Source organism: Homo sapiens, chromosome 15 (genome assembly GCF_000001405.40).
Source record: "Homo sapiens chromosome 15, GRCh38.p14 Primary Assembly".
Lineage (NCBI taxonomy): Eukaryota > Metazoa > Chordata > Mammalia > Primates > Hominidae > Homo > Homo sapiens.
The window spans coordinates 64,484,751-64,509,528 of NC_000015.10; the positions used below are offsets into that span (position 1 = coordinate 64,484,751).

At 42.7% G+C, this 24,778-nt stretch overlaps 1 protein-coding gene across 5 annotated transcripts in view; it reads left to right on the forward strand.

Annotated features, from left to right (window-relative positions):
* Positions 1 to 24,778, forward strand: part of ZNF609 (zinc finger protein 609) — a 226,491-nt gene that overhangs the window by 25,173 nt on the left and 176,540 nt on the right. For all 5 annotated transcript variants that reach the window (XM_047432263.1, XM_047432265.1, XM_017022021.2 and 2 more), the window contains exon 2: positions 14,543 to 15,416. In XM_047432263.1, the coding sequence (XP_047288219.1) occupies positions 14,670 to 15,416 (747 nt within the window). In that variant the 5' untranslated portion in view covers positions 14,543 to 14,669. The remainder of the gene's footprint in view (positions 1 to 14,542; positions 15,417 to 24,778) is intronic.

The following is a 24,778-nucleotide window of genomic DNA, read 5'->3' on the forward strand; positions in this document are numbered from 1 at the left end:
GGATCATGAGGTCATGAGATCGAGACCATCCTGGCCAACATGGTGAAACCCCATCTCTACTAAAAATACAAAAATTAGCTGGGCATGGTGGCGCTTGCCTGTAGTCCCAGCTATTCAGGAGGCTGAGGCAGGAGAACCGCTTGAACCCGGGAGGCGGAGGTTGCAGTGAGCCGAGATTGCGCCACTGCACTCCAGCTTGGGCGACAGCGAGACTCCGTCTCAAAAAAAAAGTGAAAGAAACTAGGAATCTTGGTAAGATATTCCTCGCAAAATTAACTTAGTGTACTGCCACGGAAATGCTGGGCATCATTAGGAAGAGAATCAGTACCAAATAAACAAAGATAAAAATAAACTTCCATCTGTGTAAAACCAAGGTTTGTTTATATTTGTGATACTGTGTATTCTGTTGACCCCGAAGAAGTATTTATCAAAGCTGATGACCAAAGAAGGTGAAGGCTTTAATGAATACATGCAAAGAAAAAAAAAATTCAGCTTTTAAAGACAAAGGGAATATAATGTCAAGTGATGAAAAGAACATATAGACTTGATCACCAGTTCTTAGGATCCTGTATTAGATATGGAACACTCAGGTTAGAAGTGATTTTAGCTTAATGATTGGGCTACTCTTATAAATAGTAAATAAATAAAATATGTTTAACGGCGGTAGAAATTTAAAAATGGAAGATAAAGTGTTTGCATGTTTTTTAAATTACACTTTTTATTTTGAGATAATTATAGAGTCTTACGCAGTTGTAAGAATAATGCAGTGGGGTTGGGTGCAGTGGCTCATGCCTATAACCCCAACACTTTGGGAGGTTGAGGTGGGAGGATCACTTAAGCCCAAAAGTTCAAGACCAGCCTGGGCAACATAGTGAGACCCTGTCTACAAAATTTTTTTTTTTAAATTCACTGGGCATGGTCATGCACCTCTGTAGTCCCAGCTATTCTGGAAGCTGAGAGGATTGCTTGAGCCCAGGAGGTGGAAACCGTAGTGGGCCATGATAGCGCCACTGTACTCTAGCCTGGCAAAACAGCAAGACTGTCTCAAAAAATAGTAATAATAATGCAGAGGGATCCTTTGTACCCTTGACCTAGTTTCCTCCAGTGGTAACATCTTGCTAAAGTACAATATCATAATTTTGACATTGATATAAGCCATCTATCTTGTTCAGACCTCCCCATTTTACTCATAATCACTTTTGTATATATGTGTTTTCAGTTCTGTGCAGACTTAATCACATGTAGAGTCATACTATTTTCACCACCACAGTCAAGATACAGACAGCTCCATCACCACAAATGTCCCTCATGTTGTCCTTTTATAGCCACACCCACATCCTTTCTACTGTCCCCTTCTCCCATCTCCCACAATAAGATTTTTGATAAATTATTGGATTGGTACATTATATAATAACCTGTTAAGGGAATACAGGAGTATTTGAGGAAGTATATCCTTGACTTTTCCTAAAATTATTTAAAGTTTATTTTATCGGCCAGGCACGTTGTCTCACACCTGTAATCCCAGCACTTTGGAAGGCCAAGGCAGGCGGATCACCTGAGGTCAGGAGTTCGAGACAAGCCTACCCAACATAGTGAAACCCCGTCTCTACTAAAAATACAAAAATTAGCCGGGTGTGGCGACGTGCGCCTGTAGTCCCGGCTATTCAGGAGACTGAGGTAGGAGAATCACTTGAACCCGGGAGGTGGAGGTTTCAGTGAGCTGAGATCGTGCCACTGCACTCCAGCCCAGGTGACAGAGTGAGACTCTGTCTCCAAAAAAAAAAAAAAAAAATTGTTTTGTCTATCCAAATAATAGATAAATTATTTTTGGTTTCCTATGAACTTTGTATTAAAAGTCAAATAGTGGGGCAGCTTTTTTTTTCAAGACACAGTCTTGCTCTGTCACCCAGGCCAGAGTGCAGTGGCATGATCTCAGGTCAATGTAGCCTCTGCTTCCCAGGTTCAAGTGATTCTCATGCCTCAGCCTCCTGAGTAGCTGGGACTATAGGCATGTGTCACCATGCGATGCTAATTTTTTGTATTTTTAGTAGAGGCAGGTTTTGCCATTTGGCCAAGTTGACCTGAAGTAATCTGTCCGCCTTGGCCTCCCAAGTGCTGGCATTACAGGTGTGAGCCACTACGCCTGGCCTTTACTCCCATTTTTCTAAATAATAATGTGTTCTCTTACTGCCCTTCTCTTCGTATCGAATCATCCCAATATAGTTATGTCACAATTTTTGGTTAGGTCGATATTCATTATTTATTGTGCTGAGTAAATAATGTTTATTATTGAGCCGTTTGATATACTACTATTACATTTTTGGTGCAACTTTTTCCCCCCAGGATTTAATATCATTACTTAATTTTTTTTGATTTGTTTTTATATCCCTATTTCTGATTAATTTTTTTCAGACTCTCCAACAGATCTATAAATCTCATAGTCAAACATCAAGTAATCTGTAAGTTAGTTTCTTACTGTCTCCCTCCATCCCTCCCATCCTGTTATCTCTCTAAATAGCCTAATCTGTGGTGATTAATGGCATGATTCCCTTTACATATAATACTGCTTTAGGATCAGGACTATGTTATAGCAAGACAATTCTCTTGTTCATAGGTATTTATTTTACTTTTTTAAAAAGTATAATATGTATGTAGTAAAGTACAGTAAGTGCACGAATCTTGTGCACAACTCAGTTTTTCCATGTGTATACAGATATGTAACCACTATCCAGTTCAAGATATAGAACATTTATTTCCAGCACCCTGCAAGATTCCCTCGTGTTTCTTCCCAGTTGGTATCCCTCTCCCCAAGCATGACCACTTTTCATGACTGCTTTTTTCACCTTTGATTCACAGGTGTTTTTTTTTTGTTGTTTGTTTTTTGTTTTAATTTTTTTTTTGAGACGGAGTCTTGCTCTGTCGCCCCGGCTGGAGTGCGGTGGCACAATCTCGGCTCACTGCAACCTCCGCCTCCTGGGTTTAAGTGATTCTTCTGCCTCAGCCTCCTGAGTAGCTGGAACTACAAGCGAGCGCCACCACGCCCAGCTAAATTTTTTTGTATTTTTAGTAGAGATGGGGTTTCACCATATTGGCCAGGCTGGTCTTGAACTCCTGACCTTGTGATCCACCCACCTTGGCCTCCCAAAGTGCTGGGATTACAGGCGTGAACCACCGCACCCAGCCAATTCATAGGTGTTTTAAGTGTGACACTTGGATGGTTTAAGTCTGATAGAACTTTTACATTTATTATACATTTAAATATATACCTGGGGGCTCTCAGGAGTTTGTGGACTAGTCCTTTTTTGGGAAGCAACTATGCATGAATGAGACTGTTGCAAGGCTAGGAATACGCAGAAATGGTTAGGAATTTTAAGAAATATGGAAGCTGCTTTGTTTTCTAAACTTTCCCTTAGATTCTTAATGAATCTGAATTCTTTTTTCTGGAGAAAGGAATCCACACTCTGATCTAGTAGATTTGACAGCTGACTGCTAATTGAGAGAGTTTATAACTAGTGACAAATCAAGGTGAAGTAAGAATGGAGAGGAGAAATGCCAGCGGGGCATTGATATGATTCTGCTCATTGAGGAGAACAGTGTTCATTCACTCATTTGTTGACCAAAATGCTTAATGAAGGTGGACTGTAAACCAAACACTGGTTCTTCAATGGTGAGCACAAGAGAGACAGCCTCTGCCCTCAGGGTGGGTGCTTGCAGTGTAGTGCAGGAAACAAATGTGACATCCTTGAAGCAAAATGGTGGCAGTTGTGGCCATACCTCATGGCTGGAGAGGTAGTGTTAGGTATCTTTAAGGATATTTATGTGAATCCCACCCTTTTTTGTGGCTAGTCTAACATTATTTATATTTTTTGATAAGAGAAGTTTTCTTTGTCCCCTCAGATTTACTCTAGGGCTTCTTGTAGAATAGATCTGGGAAGGGAGAGATAAGGTCTAGAATATAAAAAATGAAGGCAATTCCTTGTCTGTTCTGAAAAATGCTAAATGTTTTTTCCTTTCCCTGAGACTATGAATTTGACCATGTTTAGAGATGAAGAACTAGGCGTGATGTAATTCCAGCACTTTGGGAGGCCAAGGTGAGAGGATCTCTTGAACGCAGGAGTTTGAGACCAGTCTGGGTGACAAAGAGAGACTTTGTTTCTACAAAAAAAAGAAAGAAAGAAAGAAAGAAAGAAAGAAACAATTAGCCGGGTATGGTGGTGGTGCATGCCTGTGGTCCCAGCTACATGGGAGACTGAAGCAGGAGGAGGATCCCTTGAACCCAGGAGGTCAAGACTGCAGTGAGCTTGTGTTTGTTTGCACCACTGTATTCCCACCTGGGTGGCAGAGTGAGACCCTGTCTCAAAATAAAAAAAAAGGAAAATTAATGATTTTACACAACAGTTCTGTGTGCAAGCCTAGTTTTGTGTTTTTTTTTTTGTTTTTTTGTTTTTCTTTTGAGATGGAGTCTCACTCTCTCTCCCAGGATGGAGTGCAGTGGCGCGATCTTGGCTCACTGCAACCTCCGCCCTCCAAGTTCAAGCAATTCTCCTGCCTCAGCCTCCTGAGTAGCTGGGATTACAGGCACCTGCCACCGCGCCCGGCTAATTTTTTTTTAGTAGAGACAGGGTTTTACCATCTTGGCCAGGCTGGTCTTGAACTCCTGACCTTGTGATCCACCCGCCTCGGCCTCCCAAAGTGCTGGAATTACAGGCAGGAGCCACTGTGCCTGGCACAAGCCTAGTTTTTTAGATGTTTTGAATGCTACCATCTCCATTATTCACTTTTTTTTTTTTTTTTTTTTAGACGGAGTCTCGCTCTGTCACCCAGGCTGGAGTGCAGAGGCGTGATCTCAGCTCACTGCAACTTCTGCCTCCTGGATTCAAGCGATTCTCCTGCCTCAGCCTCCCAAGTAGCTGGGATTACAGGCACCCGCCACCATGCATGGCTAATTTTTGTATTTTTAGTAAAGACAGTTTCCCCATGTTGGCTAGGCTGGTCTTGAACTCCTGACCTCAGGTGATCTGCCCGCCTCGGCCTCCCAAAGTGCTGGGATTACAGGCATGAGTCACCATGCCCAGCCACTTTTTTTCTAACAATTTGACATTACCACCTCCTTAGCACAAAAAGTTTATCTCTGGGGATAAGAACTTCTAAAGAGCTACATAGCCATCCAATTATGAGGGGAAGAGGCATGGCAGAGCTTATTTTTAAATTTTTATTTACTTGTTTGAGACAGCACCTCGCTCTGTCACCCAGGCGGGAGTGCAGTGGCATGATCACAGCTCACTGCAGCCTCAACCTCTTGGGCTCAACAGATAATCCCATCTCAGCCTACCAAGTAACTGAGACTACAGGCATTTGCCACCATATCTGGCTAATTTTTTATTTTTATTTTTGTAGAGACAGGGTCCCATTATGTTGCCCAGGCTGGTCTCAAACTCCTGGGCTCGAGTAATCCTCCCGCCTCAGTCTCCCAAAGTACTGGGAGTACAAAGGCATAAGCCACTGCACCCGGCCAGTAGTTGTTTTTTTTTTTTTTTTTCGAGACGGAGTTTTGCTCCCGTTGCCCAGGCTGGAGTGCAATGGCACGGTCTCGGCTCACTGCAACCTCCACCTCGCGGGTTCAAGTGATTCTCCTGCCTCAGCCTCCCTAGTAGCTGGGATTACAGGCATGTGTCACCACACCTGGCTAGTTTTTGTATTTTTAGTAGAGACAGGGTTTCTCCATGTTGGTCAGGCTGGTCTCGAACTCCCGACCTCAGGTGATCCATCCACCTTGGCCTCCCAAAGTGCTGGGATTACAGGCATGAGCCACCGTGCCCAGCCCCCAGCTAGTAGTTTTTTTTTAATTGTTTACCTCAGATAATCTGCCTCTGCTTTTTGGCCTAGCTATACACAGGATTTAGTAAGGGTTTTCTATGTGGATCACTTTCACCAAATGAATCTCTAAAGGGTCAGGACTGAATTATTTACATATTCAGGATACCATTTAGCCTATTGTGAGATACATGCTGGCACAGAGCAGTAGTGACAAACAACAAGGATCTGAACTTGAGCCCAGTTGAATTGCTATGTGCTGATGGAAGAGTCAGTTGCTTATGTGAAATGAAACAGGTCAAGCCTTGTAATCTTTGTTGGAGAATAGCAGCCTTTGAGGACTATAAAACTATTGATGAGTTGCAGCATATAAAGACTCAGGGACTAAGAGATGCTGCTGTTTTGCTCTCCTGTCCTTAGGTGACACATGGTCAGATAAGCCCTGTTGAATTGGATCTGTCTTCTCAAATTGGCTCTTTTAGTCTGTTCTTTATCTAATCTCCATTGGAGATATAAGCTGAAAGCTATGGTACTTGAGGAGATGACACAGTTCCTTTGTTACAGTAATTAATGTAATAAATTAAGGGAGAGGCCCAAAGGGAAGGTGATTGTTTCTCATTAGAGCCCTAGGTGGAAATTCATTTGATTAGCAAGCTCCCATGAAGTGTGGCAGGTAGAGAGGGAGATGCCTGTTTTTATAGTTGGGTAAGCTGAGAGTCACTGAGGATGGTTTACATGTTGTAGTAACCATACTGAAGCTGGCTAAGTATGAATTGATTTCAGGGCAACATCTAGAATTCAGGGAAGATGGTATAATATGGTTACCTTCTCAGCAACTTTGTTGTATCCCATTAGTTTATTGACAGTTCCCTGAGACATCAAATCCTGTAAACCTCACACAGTTTATATTCAAAGACAGTTTATATTGTCAGTGGGATCAACAACCTTGTGGGTTAGAACAACTGGCAAAAGAGGTAGTACAGATGTTAAAACCATGAGTTTTGCCGGGTGTGGTGGCTCACGCCTGTAATCCCAGCACTTTGGGAGGCTGAGGTGGGCAGATCACTAGGTCAGGAGTTTGAGGCCAGCTTGGCCAACGTGGTGAAACCCCATCCCTCTCAAAAATAAAAAAATTAGCCGAGTATGGTGGCGCCCCTCCAATCCCAGCTACTCGGGAGGCTGAGGCAGAAGAATCGCTTGAACCCAGGAGGTGGAGGTTGCAGTGAGCTGAGACTGTGCCGTTGCACTCCAGCCTGGGCGACAGAGCAAGATTCCGTCTCAAAAATAAATAAATAAAACCATGAGTCTTGAGATTGGTACCTTGTCCCTGAGGGATTTCTGAAGCAAGATGGAGTCTGTCAGTCACGACAGTATATGGCTTTAGGAGCCACATCGAGCCAGGCGTGGTGGCTCATGCCTGTAATCCTAGCACTTTAGAAGGCCAACACAGGCAGATCACCTGAGATCAGGAGTTCGAGACCAGCATGGCCAACATGGCGAAACCCCATCTCTACTAAAAGTACAAAAAATTAGCCAGGAGTGGTGGCACATGCCTGTAATCCCAGCTACTTGGGAGGCTGAGGCAGGAGAATTGCTTGAAGCCAGGAGGTGGAGGTTGCAGTGAGCCGAGATCACGCCACTGCACTCCAGCCTGGGTGACAGAGTGAGACTCTGTCTCAAAGAAAAGAAGAAGAAAAAAAGCCACATGTGAAGGTAGGCATAGCCTAAAAGGAAAACCCTAATCACTGAGTTCATGGAAGAAGAAAAGATTGCCATTTCCTTTCATAGAACTCAAATGGGTATTGGTACAACCTGTAATTTAATTTGTAAAAAAAAATTTTTTAAACATTTTCCTTTATTTTTCTTAATACTTTAGATGCCTTGTGAAAGGTAGAACCATGAAACAGTTCTCCCTAAGTTCATACACTAGAACCTTATAAGAGTAGTTGGGTCATATATTTTCGAGTTGTCTTCTTTTTATTTTTATTTTTTAAATAAATAGAGATGGAGTCTCGCTGTGTTGCCCAGGCTGGTCTAGAACTCCTGGGCTCAAGTGATCCTCTCACCTCGGCCTCCCAAAGTGCTGGGATTACAGTCGTGAGGTGCTGTACCCAGCTTTGACTTGTCTTACATTTTTCAGATTTATATCCTCATGATATGCTTAGAATGTGATAGACTCTTCCTCCATCTTATAATGAGAAAATACTTAATGAAGCAGCTTAGCTAGTGTCAATGGAAATTTGAGTCCAGAAATCACATCTCCTGACTCAGAGTTCATTGTTCTTTTTACTACACCATGCTACCCTCCTCGAATTGAGTATAGCATTTTTTCTTTGGCATGCAGGTTTTGGAGGGGAATACCTAGCTAGACAGCCCTAATATCCATATTTTGTGTGTGACCTGTGTGGTCTCAAGCAGATTATAATTCATATATAACTGTCACATGCTCAGGCCAAAGCCTATAAGAGGATTGATCCAAAATCCATAAGAAAAAGAGGACAGATAAATTTACAGTAGAACAGTATTAGACAATTTACTGCTTATACTGGATTATCTGTGGGTAGTTACCAATTAAAGGAATTGGCTCTTTGAAGCCTTCTTGGATGGATACAGAGATCTCTCGGGGGTGAAAGAGAAATGTAGTGTTTCTTGTTATGTTTGGATATGAGTGGGGTCCAGTTGCTGTTTTTGCCCTCTGAGCTGGGACAGAAACCTCACATGAAAACTCTTTTTCATTCTTACCCTTGTCGAAGGAGAGGCCTTGTTCATTCCTGAGGTAGAAGAGTTGTATGGTCTGTGACATAAGTCCTTAAAATTGCAATTAATGACCTGAAATGTATGATTTACAATGTACAAGCCTGTGGGCTGGGAGTCAAAGAGATGGATGTTATTATGATATGTTTTTTAAGCAGGAGTGCTTTGGGTAAATACAGGGTATGGAAAGTGATTGTCATGACCTATCTTGGTCCCTTAAACATATCCATGTAGCAAGGAATTTCTTAATGATCAGGTGTAGGAACAAAACACAGATAGTACTGACAACTCATGGTGGACAAGTGATTCCAGAGGCTGTTGAGTTGCAGTCCTAAAGAAGGAAGTGGAGTACACTTAGGCAGAAGGAGAGAAAAGAAAGGAAAATAATCACAGAAACTTGTGCAAGTTGTTAAATGCCTTGTGGTCTCTGTAAGATATTGGTTCTCCTGATTCCGCACTTTCTCTGCCATGAAAGCAAGAGGTCAGTGCTTTTCGTTTCCCACTAGCATGTTGGTTACCCCACCTCTTGGGGTTAAACATCTCTGCAATGACCTGTCAAAGAGTTGATTATTAGCTGCATAAAGCCAGGGATGCTGTAGGGAGCAGATGGGAAGTGGTTTGGCTGCTGCAGCCAGGCTGATTGAAGAATCCTTGGCAATTTTACAGTGTATCTTTGGAAATGTACCACCAAAGTTACTATGAAGCCTGCTGGGTTTGGAAACCTAGATTTCTGAAAAGTCACCTGGTTGAAAAGTAGTACTTACGAAAACTCTTCACTCTCAAAAATAGGAATATAGGGACTTCCTAAAAGAACATCAGGACCACCAAAGATCAGTCCTTGGGATATGTTTTCTTTGCATCCTGGTCATTCAGAAATTTTGGAGTAGCTTTCTAGTAGGGAAAGCACTTTTTGATGGGTATATTAATAGAATTATAAATTTGAAAAAGGCCTTAGGCATGTCTAGACTAACCCTACCACACACAGGAGAATCTTTTATGTATTTGCTTCACAGGTGATTATGCTTTTTCTGCTTAAATACTTTCAGTAAAATAGACATTAAACATTGTGGGTCATTGTTGGGAATCAGGATATTAAATTTTTTCCTGAGTTAAATATCTGTCTTTCTGTAACTTCTACTCACTGACTCTCTTTCTACCCTCAGAGTCACAGAGTTACTTTCTTCCACACTGCACACATCATATACATATATATATGTTTTTGTTTTTGTTTTTTCTTTTTGAGACAGAGTCTTACTCTGTCACCTATGCTGGAGTGCAATGGTGCAATCTCAGCTCACTGCCTCCCAGCCATTATCCTACCTCAGCCTCCCAAGTAGCTGGGATTACAGGCTCCCGCTACCATGCCTGGCTAATTTTTTGTATTTTTAGTACAGACGGGGTTTCATCATGTTGGCCAGGCTGGTCTTAAACTCTGACCTCAGGTAATCCACCCGTCTAGGCCTCCCAAAGTGCTGGGAGAACAGGCATGAGCCACCTTGCCTGGCATCATCATATATTTGAAGCTAACAGCCTGTCTTCCTTCAGTGTTCTCCTTTCCAGACCAAAGAATCCCAGTTTCTAAGGTCTTTCCTCTTAAGAAATGGCTTCCCAGTCTTGTACCATACTGTGCTCTGTAGTACATCCTTTCAGTTTATTAATATCACACTTAAGATGTGGAATCTGGAAATGAGCATAGATCATCAGATGTTTTTTTCGCCTCCAGCTACCGTTTCAGAAAAAGTACAATTTTTAAAAAGTGTAATGGCAGTATCACTTGCTTACTAGAAAAAAATCCCAAAAAACAAAACAATTTGCCATGGCATATGGAATTGGAACAAGAGGAATTTGAAAAAATATCAGCTTTATAACTTACGGTTTGTCTTTCCTTATTGTTAAGGCTTTTTGAGGTACATTATCAAAGTACTGGTTTTCCCTCACATATTATTCAGGGATAATTGTTAATATCTGAATTGAGTTTTCAGCTTACAAAGTGCAGTTGATATTTGTATTTATAGGAATTATTTAAATTTATGCTACATTGAACTGATTTTAGTATTTCAGGTAGTTTTTTTTGTTTGCTGGTTGAATTTTTTCAGATGGCATCTCGCTCTGTCGCCCAGTCTAGAGTATAGTGGCACAATCTTGGCTCACTGCAACCTCTGCCTCCCAGGTTCAAGCAATTCTCCTGCCTCAGCCTCCCAAGTAGCTGAGATTATAAGATGTACTGTCACACCTGGTTAATTTTCGTATTTTTGTATTTTTAGTAGAGAAAGGGTTTCGTCATGCTGGCTAGGCTGATCTCAAACTCCTGATCCTCAAGCGATCCACCCACCTGGGCCTCCAGGTGGAGGCCCAGAAGTGCTGGGATTAGCCACTGTGGACTACTTTCTTTATGAATTTTAATTGATACTGCATTTTTTGTTTCCTTGTATCTTTTTTTTTTTTAGTGTTAAATCCTTTTGTCCTTTCAACTAAGTTACACATTTTCATTTTAACCTGTTATCTTTTTTTTTTTTTTGAGACACAATTTCATTCTGTCACCCAGACTGGAGTGTAGTGGCGTGATCTTGGCTCACTGCAACTTCTTCTTCCCAGATTCAAGTGATTCTCATGCCTCAGCCTCCCAAGTAAGTGGGATTACAGGCACATGCCACCACACCCAGCTAATTTTTGTATTATTAGTAGAGATGAGGTTTCACCATGTTGGCCAGGCTGGTCTTGAACTCCTGACCTCAAGTGATCCTCCTGCCTCTGCCTCCCAAAGTGCTGGGATTACAGGCATGAGCCTGTGCCTGGCCTCTGTTATCTTTTTAATGCTCTCTTCCTTACTGGCATACTTTGTTTATCATGCATCCTGCAGCAGGGCAGGCAGTACAGTAGACTGAGAACTGTCAGAAGCTCTCAGTGAGCACTAACATTTTTCTGTTTCATACGCTTTCCTTACTCCTCCAGAGTCTCTCTTCCGTTACCATTCTATTTTCTAGAGGAAGGTCTTTTGAAACTAAGGAAAGTTTTATTGTTTTTCTAGGGATAAAACAAGGTGGGGTTGTTTTAATGGTTAAATTACATACTGAGGATAGTGAGTAACCCTTAGATTAATGTAGGTTACACTCTAAGCCTAGCCACAATTGCAAAGATTAGAGAACTAAAAAATTATGATTTGGGGAAGAACTGTGCTTTAAGAATTCTCTATCATGGAAATTCAGTTGGCATCTCCTTTCCTAGAGATGCCCTCTGCCCCTCATAATAGAAAAATTATTTTCAGTACCATGTTCCATTGCCTTACTCACTGTCTTACTTGCTGCTGTATTTTCAGCACCTAGTTTAGTGCCTGGCACGTTGAAGGCAATAAATAAAAGATTTTCTAACAAATGAATAGGTATCTACTATGCTATTTCATGGAGGCCAAGTCTTCTTGTGTAGTGTTGAGAATTCCAAACAGGTTACTAATTTCTTCAGAATCCTAGATCATTTTCAGAGTTTCATTTCTTTTTTTCTTTCTTTTTTTTTTTTGAGACAGCGTCTCGCTCTGTCACCCAGGCTGGAGTGAAGTGGCACAATCTCAGGTCACTGCAGTCTCGACCTCCCAGGCTCAAGCCATCCTCCCACCTTTCAGCTCCCTGAGTAGCGGGGGCTACAAGCATTACCATCATACCCGGCTAATTTTTGTATTTTTTATAGAGACAGGGTTTTGCCATGTTGCCCAGACTGGTCTCAAACTCCTGGGCTCAAGTGATTCTCCCGCCTTGGCCTCCCAAAGTGGTGGGATTACAGGCATGAGCCACCATGCCTGGCCTAGAGTTATCATTTCATAAGAGATTATGTTTCCTTTACCTTGTGAGTAACTTTTTTCATAGTTTGTACATCATATCATCCACCCCCACTTTTTGCTCATCTCTTATAAAGTAGGATCTATGTAGACTTGGCATTTACTAATAAATAGTGGTTGGTTGCTGTTAACACTAAGATCTCCACTTGGGTAATGGATATATTTTCTTCCCACATCTACAGCTAAATGGCAGATAAATGTGCACACCTCTCCCCCTTAAATTCCTGTTGCTAGCAGGCATTCACCTGGCTCCCCTCCTTTGCTCTTCTACTGTGACATCTTTTCTTGCCCCTACACCCTAGTTCTTTGACATTGCTCTGAGGGAATAGGTAAAAAAGTACAATTTGTCTTGTCTGTGTCCTATCTGTGGCATTTACAGATCTCTACAAAGTTAGAGATCCACTTTGCAGAATTCACTGTGACACTACTGGCTTGTTCTTTCTACTCAATTACCTTATAAAAATTACTTTTTGGCTGGACACGGTGGCTCATACCTGTAATCCCAACACTTTGGGAGGTCGAGGCAGGCAGCTCACATGAGGTCCAGGAGGTTGAGACCAGCCTGGCCAACATGGTGAAACCCCGTCTCTACTAAGAATACAAGTTAGTCAGTCATTGTGGTGCACGCCTGTAATCCCAACCTCTTGGGAGGCTGAGGTGGGAGAATTGCTTGAACCCGGGAGGCAGAGGTTGCAGTGAGCCGAGATCACGCCACTGCACTTGAGCCTGGGCAACAGAACAAGGCTCTGACTCAAAAAAAAAAAATTTTTTTTTTAATGGATAGAGAAAGGTGGTGGACAGAGGAATAAGCAAGAACAGAACTCTTTGGCTTTATCATAAAATAATACTGGATGGTATATGTTGACTGCCAGGTTTTCTAGATGGCACACTCCTCAAGTCTTGTTAGTCAGGAGATAGTGGAGACAGAGTCTTACTCTGTCACCCAGGCTGGAGTGCAGTGGTGTGATTTCAGCTCACTACAACCTCTGCCTCCCAGGTTCAAATGATTCTTCTGCCTCAGCCTCCCGAGTAGCTGGGATTACAGGTGCCTGACACCACATCTGGCTAATTTTTGTATTTTTAGTAGAGACGGGGTTTCACCACATTGGCCAGGCTGATCTTGAACTCCTGACCTCAGGTGATTAGCCTGCCTCTGCCTCCCAAAGTGCTGGGATTACATATGTGAGCCACTGCACCTGGCCATAAATTGCACTTTTAATACCCCATCACCACCACCCCCTTTTGTAGCCAATCTCTGTTTCCTATGGTGTGAGGCCTGGTGTTTGTCAATACAGTGCCATCAGTATTACATGAGAAAGTGAAGAGTTATTCTACATCCTGGTGTTAGGATTTTTAGTAGTGTCCAGTTTTTCATAGAGTAAACATTTTTCTTTATTTGTGTGTCGTCCTATTTTAGTGGGAAGTGGGAAAGGCCACTTTGAATCCTGCTATTGAGATAATAATTTGAAACCTGGAGTTTTAGAAGGCTGTTTCAGCTTCTCTGAACTTAAGCTGATTGGTTGAGTCCCCTCTGAGATTGTCTCCTCTAGTTCAAGTCTTAGCCCCCTGTCCTGAAGTTGCATTTTCCCCAGTTCTGCTTGTTTTTCTCTTTCATTCTTAACCATAAGACTTTTCCTTCCCAATAGTAGGAGGAATCTATACTATTTGTACTAGAGATAGACCCTGTTAGAGAGTTTTTAAAGCTTTTGCTAGATCATGTTCTGCGTCTCTGATAATGTAAGAAAAAGCAAGGAGAAATGGGGGTATAAGTAAAGTTGTGCTAGAGCTTGCATCTGTGATATGCCAGGACCTGTATTGATTGAGGAAGGGTTGCCAGCTGACAGTGGTAGTAGAAATAGGTCTCTTAGGAGTGGGAAATTAACTCTAGAGGACTCCTAGTTAAGACTTACCATGGAATCTCTGGGCAATTGGAAATACTGTACTTTCCCCTAGGGAGATGGAGTGGGAATTGATTTTTCCTTAGGTCCAATGTAACTTGGTTAGAAATACAATTGAACCTGTTTGTCATGTCTGTTGTGATATGATAGCCCCATAGGAAGGGTCTGTTTTTGTGTGGGAGTTTATTTCAGGCGTCTCTTGCCTGTATTGTTTCTTTTAACAGCTTTTTAAATTTTCTTTTTCCAGCAATGATGTTGTCCACTGGGCATGTACTGACCAATGTGGCAGGTCTGAGAACATAGCTGAAGCTGAAAATAGGAAAGCTGGGGGCAAGGAAGAGCCTTGAATCTTGAGGTGGGACGTTGACTCTAAGATGTCCTTGAGCAGTGGAGCCTCCGGAGGGAAAGGAGTGGATGCAAACCCGGTTGAGACATACGACAGTGGGGATGAATGGGACATTGGAGTAGGGAATCTCATCATTGACCTGGACGCCGATCTGGAAAAGGACCAGCAGAAACTGGAAATGTCAGGCTCAAAGGAGGTGGGGATACCGGCTCCCAATGCTGTGGCCACACTACCAGACAACATCAAGTTTGTGACCCCAGTGCCAGGTCCTCAAGGGAAGGAAGGCAAATCAAAATCCAAAAGGAGTAAGAGTGGCAAAGACACTAGCAAACCCACTCCAGGGACTTCCCTGTTCACTCCAAGTGAGGGGGCAGCTAGCAAGAAAGAGGTGCAGGGGCGCTCAGGAGATGGTGCCAATGCTGGAGGCCTGGTTGCTGCTATTGCTCCCAAGGGCTCAGAGAAGGCGGCTAAGGCATCCCGCAGTGTAGCCGGTTCCAAAAAGGAGAAGGAGAACAGCTCATCTAAGAGCAAGAAGGAGAGAAGCGAAGGAGTGGGGACTTGTTCAGAAAAGGATCCTGGGGTCCTCCAGCCAGTTCCCTTGGGAGGACGGGGTGGTCAGTATGATGGAAGTGCAGGGGTGGATACAGGAGCTGTGGAGCCACTTGGGAGTATAGCTATTGAGCCTGGGGCAGCGCTCAATCCTTTGGGAACTAAACCGGAGCCAGAGGAAGGGGAGAATGAGTGTCGCCTGCTAAAGAAAGTCAAGTCTGAAAAGGTAAGAGGTGGCCAGATATGGCTGCCCACTGACTGCCAGTCAGAACTGCCCTGGACTAACTGCCAAATACTATGTGTACTCTGTGGGAGGCTCATTAGTGTGTGGGTAATGACCAATTACAAGGTCAGAGCAGCTGGTAATGATAATGTGGTTTTCTTCCAAATTAGAGGATTCCCCTACAGACTCATTTACAGCAGGCCTGGACATTGTGGAACAGGATATTTGTTGTTGGGGGCAGCTACTTTGTAGAATGAACTTTCTGTAGTCTGAGTTGAGACCTTCCCACCTTGTCTTTGCCCACCTCAGACACTTGTTGGTAGAGATTGGCATCAGACCTTTATTTGTTTCCCAGCTTGACTGGCATTTCATCATCAGACTCATAATAGTTGATAAACAATACGCCTTTGGTGATAATGTAGATTGAGTACGGTTCTTGATGGGATAAATGGTGCTGTTGGGTCTCTGGTAGAACAAAGGGCTAAATTTCATGGCATATCTACGAAGTGTTCTATTGCCGGCTACCAAAGAGCGAAGGGGCACATTTTGAGGGCAAGAGGTACTCATTGTACTTTGAGGTACTTAGATCTTATGAGTTATTGTTGTGGTTATGACAGTTTGGCCTAGGAAGAGATTGGCCATTAAAGGTGTAGCTTCATGCCAGGTATCTCCCACAACTATTAGGAATCAAAGTCTCCTCGTGGTTTAATAGCTGCCAACAGTGTAATGATACCTTGCCTTCTGCTTGACTTGGAAGGACAGGTGCCTGCAGCCCCAGGAGGGGTTAGAACTGAGTCCCTCCTCTGGGAAGATGATCTTAGTTCATGCTTTAGGAAATGGAACTTGCAGGGCTGGAGGAGAATGGGTGTGAGTCTAGGGTCAGCTCAGGCAGCATTAAACTTCAGCAGCTTATTCCTGCAAAACAGTGGCCTTGTGGTGAGCTGTTCATTGGCTCTTGATTTTCTGCTCTGTGCTCTGCTCATCCTGTGCTTTCAGCTGATCCCAGCAGATGCAGTATAAATTGATTTCTCTGTAATTAGATCAGCTGCAGCAGGGAATACCTATTTCCATATGTAAGTGTTAATAAATAAAGGCTGGATGTGTATGTTTGGGTGGTGGTGCCCTCTTAGTGCCTGTATTCCAGTGGTAGCTCATGCTTTCTTTGCTGTCGGTATTTTGGTCTTTGCCTCTGGCACATCTGTAGCTCTTAGCAACATCTGGGCTTCTCCAGTAGCAGGTCTGTGAGTTTCTTCCACTAATAATACAGTGGCTCATTCCCTTTTACCAGTGGCAGCTGCCAGAGAGGCTGCCTGTGTTTAGGTGGCAGATGCTATAGTCCACTTCAGCAGAGTCAGGTTCCAGCTGGTTACTAGCTTGGCTCATCCTGTGCTGGCTGTGATTTGCTATTTTCTCTCGGGTACAGATGGATAATACTGTTTTAAAGAGGCTTAGGAGTACTAGCAGTTGTTGCTTCTGTTCCAGGCCCATTAGACTGTTCCCTACATCTGGCTTCAAGAAACTCTTGCCATATATCCATATTCATAATCATTATTCTTCCTGTGCTAAAAAGTACTTCTGAGGATGACCTTCATTCTCCTATCTAAATTTTAGAGTACTTATGTTGCAACCTTCTAAGCCCAGTGATAGTCTGTGGATGAAAGGATTAATATTGCTTAGCTTTATGTTGGATTTAAGTGTAAATGTCCATGATTGTCTCTAACAGAGAAGCAAATGGAACCCATTTTCTCACATAGAGGTGCAGGGACTGATTGGGTGGCTGCCCTTCAGATTATAATTGGGCTGAAAGATGCAGTATGTTCAGCTAAGAATACATCCTGGTGCCAGGGAGTTTTGTCCCTTAATAATGTTGCTTTGCCATATAAGCTTTGCCTCCCAGGGAGACTCTGAGAATGGGGCAGCAGAATGAGAAAGAAAAGGGAAAGAGACTGTGCTTCAGTTTTTGAAAGATAGAGAAAATTGCTGGCAATTACTTTTAGAAGCAGAAAATTTGCTATACAGTTTCATGTAACCATAAGCAAGAACCTGCTTTCTCAATTCCTTCCCCTGTTCCCTCAACCCTTTTGGACAGTCTGGTCCTGAGGGTGCCTTTCCATATTACCTTTGGCTATTGAAATAAATAATTATTTAAATAAATGTTTGGAAGTTGCTAGGAGATTAAAACATGCTGTGCAGGGAGAGAACATTTCTGGACTGGGAGGAGCAGAAGAGGCAAGTTAAAGGAAAGGAAGTTAGGAACCATGCAGAGGAGCGGTTTTTGAGAAACAACAATCTCCGGTTTGGGGCATAATAGGTGCTCAGTGAGTATTTGATGATTAGTACTATAATTTATAAGCAAAGTCTTTGAAAACTTCTTTAAAATTTTCTCTCTGAGAAATGGGCTTGCCTGTGGTTTGGGACGTTTCTATGTAGGGATAACAAACAGAACCAAAATAGCAAAACAGATGTTTTGATATAATCTAAGAATTGCATCCTCTCAACTGGGAACTGTCATGAAGAGGAAGAACTCATAAAATTTGGGAAGTTTCTTGACTGAATTCTGTGGTGCAGAGTAGCAGTGTTGACTACTAGCCAATGAGGAAGATTTGAATATTGAAATTACTGGCTGGGCCTGGTGATTCATGCCTGTAATCCCAGCACTTTGGGAGGCCTAGGTGGGCAGATTGCTTAAGCTCAGGAGTTTGAGACCAGCCTAGGCAACATGGTGAAACCCTGTCTCTACAAAAATTAGCCGGGCATTGGTGGTGTGCACCCGTAATCCCAGCTACTGGGGAGGCTGAGGTGGAAGGATAGCTTGAGCCTGCGAGGTGGAGGTTGCATTGAGCTGAGACGGCACCACTGGACTCCAGCCTAGGCAATAGAGCCAGACCTTGTCTCAAAAAAAAAAAAAAAGAAAGAGAGAAATTATCTATCTCATGTTCTTCTTTGTGAAGGTAGATATCTCAGGCTATGGCCTGGGAAATTTTCTGTCAGACAAGGATGTGGATTTCCCTTCATGGGATCCCACTTTTGCTCGACCATACCTTCCTCTGACAGAGTGAGCTCTGTGCTGTTTCCCAGAGTTCTAGGAGAGACCAGAGATGGCTCTTAGCAACTGCTGCTGCTCTGAATTGTTATTGAACACTTCTGCCTCATACTTCCTGCCAGCTGAAGAGATGGGGGAGGGAATGTTGAGGAATAAACAAGACAGAGCCTTCCAGCTCTTGCCTGTTCCCTTGCCTTTAGTTTGATTGATGGATTGTTAAGTTAGGGATGGAAGGGGAGGTAGGGAGGAGGGCAGGCGCCTGTCTGAGTGTCCTGAGCTTAGTGCTTATGTCGCCACTCTGACAGGCAAGAAAAAAGGAATTTACAAACCACAGATGGCAACGATCTATCTGTGCTGACTTTGTCAGGGCTTACGACCAGGAGTTTAAGGTGAGACTCCTTCTTTTCCCCCAAATCATATAAAATAGCCAAGTAGGCTCTAGTAGTTAAAGAAAGGATCTAGAAGTTTCTAACCAGAAGCTCCCCCTCACATGTCTTTAGCTGCTGCTTTTGATCTTGCAAGGTAGGAACACTGCACTTTGCTTTTCCCGTGTTTGAATGTCAGCTTCTGCTGCTTTCAGAATGCTGCATATATTTACCACTTCCCCCATTAGTTTAGGATACAAAGAAAACCATAAAGTGTGCTCTTTGCTCTTTCAACTTCTGATCATGCATGCTATCATATCCTGTGTTCTTAAGAGCATCTTCCTTTGCCATTGGTTTTGTATTCCTGCCCTAATTTGTGCCTTCTAGCTTAGTTCTCTTGTATTGTAGTCCCTCATTGCCTAACCAAGGTCAGGTCTCTTTTATTCCTTCTGATCCAAGGCTTTCTTAACGCCTTCTTCCACTAGCTGTTATTTCTCAGCTATTGATGGCAGAGCAGTCAGCTTTGCTTCCTGAAACCAAATGCCCTCAAGATTTTCCTTCATGGAAAACATTAAAAAGAAGTTGATATTTATGTGGGACAGAGTTGCATTCTGTAACTACAAGCTTAATTTATTTTTTCATTCAGAAACTCTGTTTTCCTTCTAGGTGTTGTAATTCAAGGCAGTTCCAGAGAAAGATTATCTTGTCCAATTTCCTCATTTTATAGAAGAAACTAAGACCAGTGAAGTCCTGTGACTTGCCCAGCATCTCACAGGTAGTCACTGGCAAAGCCAGATTTGTAGACACCAAATTCTTATGGCATGTTGTTACTCTGGGATTCTTAACAAATCTTTAACTGTCAGGAAGGATTCTCAATTTTCCCACTTTATTTGTTATTTTCTTAGTATTATTATTTTCGAGATGGAGACTCACTCTGTCACCCAGGCTGGAGTGCAGTGGCACGATCTCGGCTCATTGCAGCCTCTGCCTCTGATTCAAGCGATTCTCCTGCCTTAGCTCCCCGAGTAGCTGGGATTACAAGTGCATACCACCATGCCTGGCTAGTTTTTTTTTTTTTTTTTTAATTTTAGTAGGGATAGGGGTTCACCATGTTGGCCAGGCTGGTCTCAAATTCCTGACTTCAAGTGATCCACCTGCTTCGGCCTCCCAGAGTGCTGAGATTACAGGCATGAGCCACCACACCCAGCCTATTTGCTTATTTTTAAGGCAGGGTCTCGCTATGTTGCCAATGCTGATCTTGAACTCCTGGGCTTATGCACTTCTGCCTTGGCCTCACTTATGCACTTCTGCCTTGGTCTCACTTATGCACTTCTGCCTTGGCCTCGCAAGTAGCTGGGACTACAAGTGTGTGCCACCACACCCAGCCATTTTTTCAATGTAAAGACTACCTTGAAACATTAGATGAAAATGCTTACATACTCCAAAATTGCTTTTACCCCAAAACTGCTTTCACTTGTTTTTCACAGTGACTTTAACATTGTAGACACTCAATAAACAAAGGATCTTTGAGTTTAGGATTTTAGGTAAGGTAATGAATGATGTTTGCAAAGAATAACCATTACAGCTGGCACTGAACCTATCCTGTTATTTATAAAGAAGGAAAGTTACTTTAAAACTGCTACTTTGAGCTTGACTACTTATGATATATGTGTGTGTGTTCTGGAATATTTCATCCAGCCAAATTTTCATTATAATAATTGAGGAATAGTTCTTTCTTTACTTGGCAATTGCAGGTAAGAAAAAAAACCCTGTTCTAGTGCTTCTTCCTTGGACACATCACTAATAGGCAGACCTTCAAATGTATTGTGGATATTACTAAGTATTTTGTAGAGAAGATATACTGTTGGCTAATTGTTATCACTTTTCATTCAGTCAGTACATTAATTGAATGCATTTTAGATACTAGGTTTTCTACTTGGTATTGGGTATACACTGGTAAATAAAACAGAGATGGTCTCTGCTTTTTGAGGAGCTTACAGTTTACCGTCTACAGCAGAGTTCCTAAAAGTGTGTCCCATAAAACCATGTACATCACCAGAGTATCAAAAATGCACATTCTTGGACCCTACCCTAGATATGCCGAATAAGTTTTTGGGGTAAGGGCCCAGAAATCTGTACTTCCAGAAGTCTCTCCAGATAATTGCTATATACATCAAAGTTTGAGAATTTTCCTTTCAAGGTAAGTATTCGGGGCCACTTCTCATTTAAAACACCAGCCTTCTAAACTTGAATTTCACATCAACTCTTATGTATAATTTAGTGGCTAAAAGCGTAAACTCTAGCCAGGCCTCCTGGCTTGAGCCTGGGAGGTTGAGGCTGCAGTAGTGAGCTGTGATCGCACTAGTGCACTCCAGCCTGGGCAACAGAGTGAGACTCCGTCTCAAAAAAATAATAATAATAAATTTTTTAAAAAGTGTGAACTCTGGAGCCAGACTACCTGGCTTTGTTTCCTACCTTTGCACTTATTTACTGAGTGATCTTGACCAAGTTTCTTAATTGTTCTTCCTCAGTTTTCTTATCTGCAAAATGAGAGAAATAGCACCTACATAAGTTTGTATTTATTTATTTATTTATGAGAGGGAGTCTCACTCTGCCGCCCAGGCTGGAGTGCAGTGGTGCAGTCTCTGCTCATTGCAACCTCTGCCTTAACCTCCAGAGTAGCTGGGATTACAGGCATGCACCACCATGCCTGGCTAATTTTTGTATTTTTAGTAGAGACAGGGTTTCGTTGTGTTGGCCAGGCTGGTGTCGAGCTCCTGGGCTCAAGTGATCCACCCGCCTTGGCCTCCCAAAGTGCTGGGATTACAGGCATGAGCCGTCACACCCAGCCTTTAAGTTTGTCTTTAGGCCGGGCGCGGTGGCTCACGCCTATAATCCCAGCACTTTGGGAGGCCAAGGCGGGTGGATCACCTGAGGTCGGGAGTTCGAGACCAGCCTGACCAACATGGAGAAACCCTGTCTCTACTAAAAATACAAAATTAGTCGGGCGTGGTGGTGCATGCCTGTAGTCCCAGCTACTCAGGATGCTGAGGCAGGAGAATCACTTGAACCCGGGAGGCAGAGGTTGCAGTGAGCTGAGATTGTGCTGTTGCACTCCAGCCTGGGCAACAAGAGCAAAACTCTGTCTCAAGAAAAAAAAAAAAGTTTGTCTTTAGATTAAGTTAGCTAATTCATATAAAACACTTAGTGCCTGGCACGTAGGAAGCATTCAATAAATATTAGAAAAAAGAAAAATACAGTTTGAGTGGAAATTGGTCTTAGTCTCTCCTAGGCAATAATGTACTGAAATACAACAACATTCCACTTTACAGGAATCCCAGTATGAATAGATATACATGTTAGCTAAGACTTTTTAGCACTATGGTCTGAAGAAGTTCCAAATCTAGGCTGGGAAATTTTCATGGTGGTGATGTGTTCTAAAGCCCCTGATAATTATAGTTGGAGGTGGGGGGAAGACCAAAAATTAGCTTAGGGCATATTGAAGTGGCCTGTTGAATTTCAGACTTCATATGAATCGAGCTTCTTTTCTGGCCATATCCCTGGCATGGGGTTGGGTATGTTGGATAGATGTTACTGTGGTTTTGCCGGAATATGCAATCTCACGGACACTGGAGTAGTGCTAAGTGTTTTTGTTTCTACACAAGACTGCATGGAAAAAATCTAAGTCTTAGCCCTTAATCTTCCTCCCCCAGTGTGAACTTGTATTTTTGCCATTTGGGTATAAGAGCTTTTACCAGCAGAGCTCATCCAGGGAGGCAGCAGGGCTTGGGATGTGGCAGTAACATACACAGCTGAGATCCTGCCACTGCTGGCTGTCTGAGCCCTCTCTCTGTGGTTTTCACTCTTCAAGCCATGCTTGAGTAACCCGCCTCCAGAGCTGCTGACAGGGCTGTGTTCAGAGGCCTTGGAAATTACACTGTTCATTTCCTTATCATCCCCTGACCTGCAGTGCAGAGCCTTCTGGTGCAGGAACAAGGCAGAAAAAATCCAGACGGCTCCCAGCCAGCATGTGTCAAGAGCTACAAAGAAGGAAATTGGACTTGCTCACTTAAAAACCATGGGGTTAGGCTTTGATTTTCAGTTCCTGTGGAGAGTTATTTGTGTGTATGAGCATGTTGTATCTCTGTGTATATGTATAGAATGAGTCTGTGCGTGGCAAAGCTGTGGAGGAGGACCATTTGAAATAGAGAGCAGAGGGAAGATGGCTTTTCTCTTCACTTAATTTCCCAGTTGTGCCATTGGGGTGGGCCTGGAACCATTAGCATCAGGAAGGTGCCAGACCATATTAATATTTTAAAATATATTTCTCTCGGTACAGTTTAGTCATGGTTCAGAGCACCCACAGAAGAACCTTTCCTGGCTGACCGAGGAGACATTTTTAACAAATCCTATTCCCTAAAGTCATTCATCCTAGATGACATTGACATAGTCAATATTTAAGCTGCCTAAGAAAGTGTAGACTTTGGGTCAGTCCTGGGTAAGAGCAATAGCTCTTTTGAGATGAAGGATAGTGTGATAAAAGAGAGACCTTTGTGATAGCTAAGGTGAACTAAGGAGGAATTTGGAGCATTTTGAGATTTTCTGTTCACAGGGCAAAGTTCTATTATATTTTAAGAGCCCATCCTTGTTTTGGGGGTTGGTATTACAAAGCAATCTACTTTTCTTTTGGCATCTGTTGCTCAAGGAGGCCCAAAGGAAGGACTTCAGGCTGAAGTAAAATGTGAGCAGTAAGAAGTTCTTAGCAAAGTTTATAAATATTCTGTCCTTAATTTTCCTTTTTCTGGATTTCATGTGCCTTCATGTTAGTGGTGCCATTGAAGCCTTTGTGAAGTGGGGAGAAAAAAAATAAATCTTTAAGCTGTCAGACCCTGGAGGTGTTTTAAACCCTAAGTGTCTGTCTTGTTGAAAGTACTCTGTAGAGAAGTGTCTTCACATAAGGTGATAGCTAAGGTGAGAGGGGACTACTTTCTTTTCCCTTCATATAAATTAGTGGGCCCTGTATCAGCAGCAAATGAGAATTCGATAAAAATTTGGATCTCAGACCTCCTCCCAGTCCCTAAAGTTAGAAACTCTAGGCTTGAGACCCAGAAAATTTTTTTTTTTTTTTTTTTTTTGAGACAGGGTCTCACTTTGTTGCCCAGGCTGGAATACAGTGGCACAATCAAGGCTCACTGCAGCCTCAACCTCCCATGCTCAAGTGATTCTCCTACCTCACTTCCTACCTCCCCAGTAGCTGGGACTACAGGTGTGTGCCATCACGCCCAACTAATTTTTAAATTTTTTTAGAGACGGGGTCTTACTATGTTGTTCAGGCTAGTCTTGAACTCCTAACTTCAAGCGATCCTCCTGCCTTGGCCTCCCAAAGTGTTGGGATTACAGGTGTAAGCCACTGTGCCCAGCTGAGACCCAACAATTTGCGTTTTAACATTAGCTGTCCTGTTGATTGTGATACACACTAAAGTTTGATATCTACTATTGTAGAGCACCCTTCCCTCTTAATAGTGAAATTGAAATTACCAAAAACTTTAAAATGTAACGCTGGGCAGTAGGTATGATTTTTTTCTTTTAAAAATATCCTTATATATCTTTAACTCTTTGTGGACAAACTGACAGGAACCTAAAATTGGAATGAATATCTAAGGGCTTAGGACTTTCAGAGCAGAAGAGCAGAAAAGATATTCAAAAAAGACCCACTTTTCTCATCTGAATGGAGGAAGTAAATAATAGTACTGACCTCATAGGGTTATTGTGAGGATTAAATGAGATGAAAAGAGTTAAGCATTCAGCACAGTGCCTAGCATTATAGTAAGTAACCAATAAATGTTAGCTGTTGCTGATGTTACTGTTCTTAGCTTTGAGGTGCAAGGTCATTGTGAAATTAAGGAGAAAGGATATCCTTAGAGACTTTGAAGAATTAATCCCCTGAAGGCTTTGGA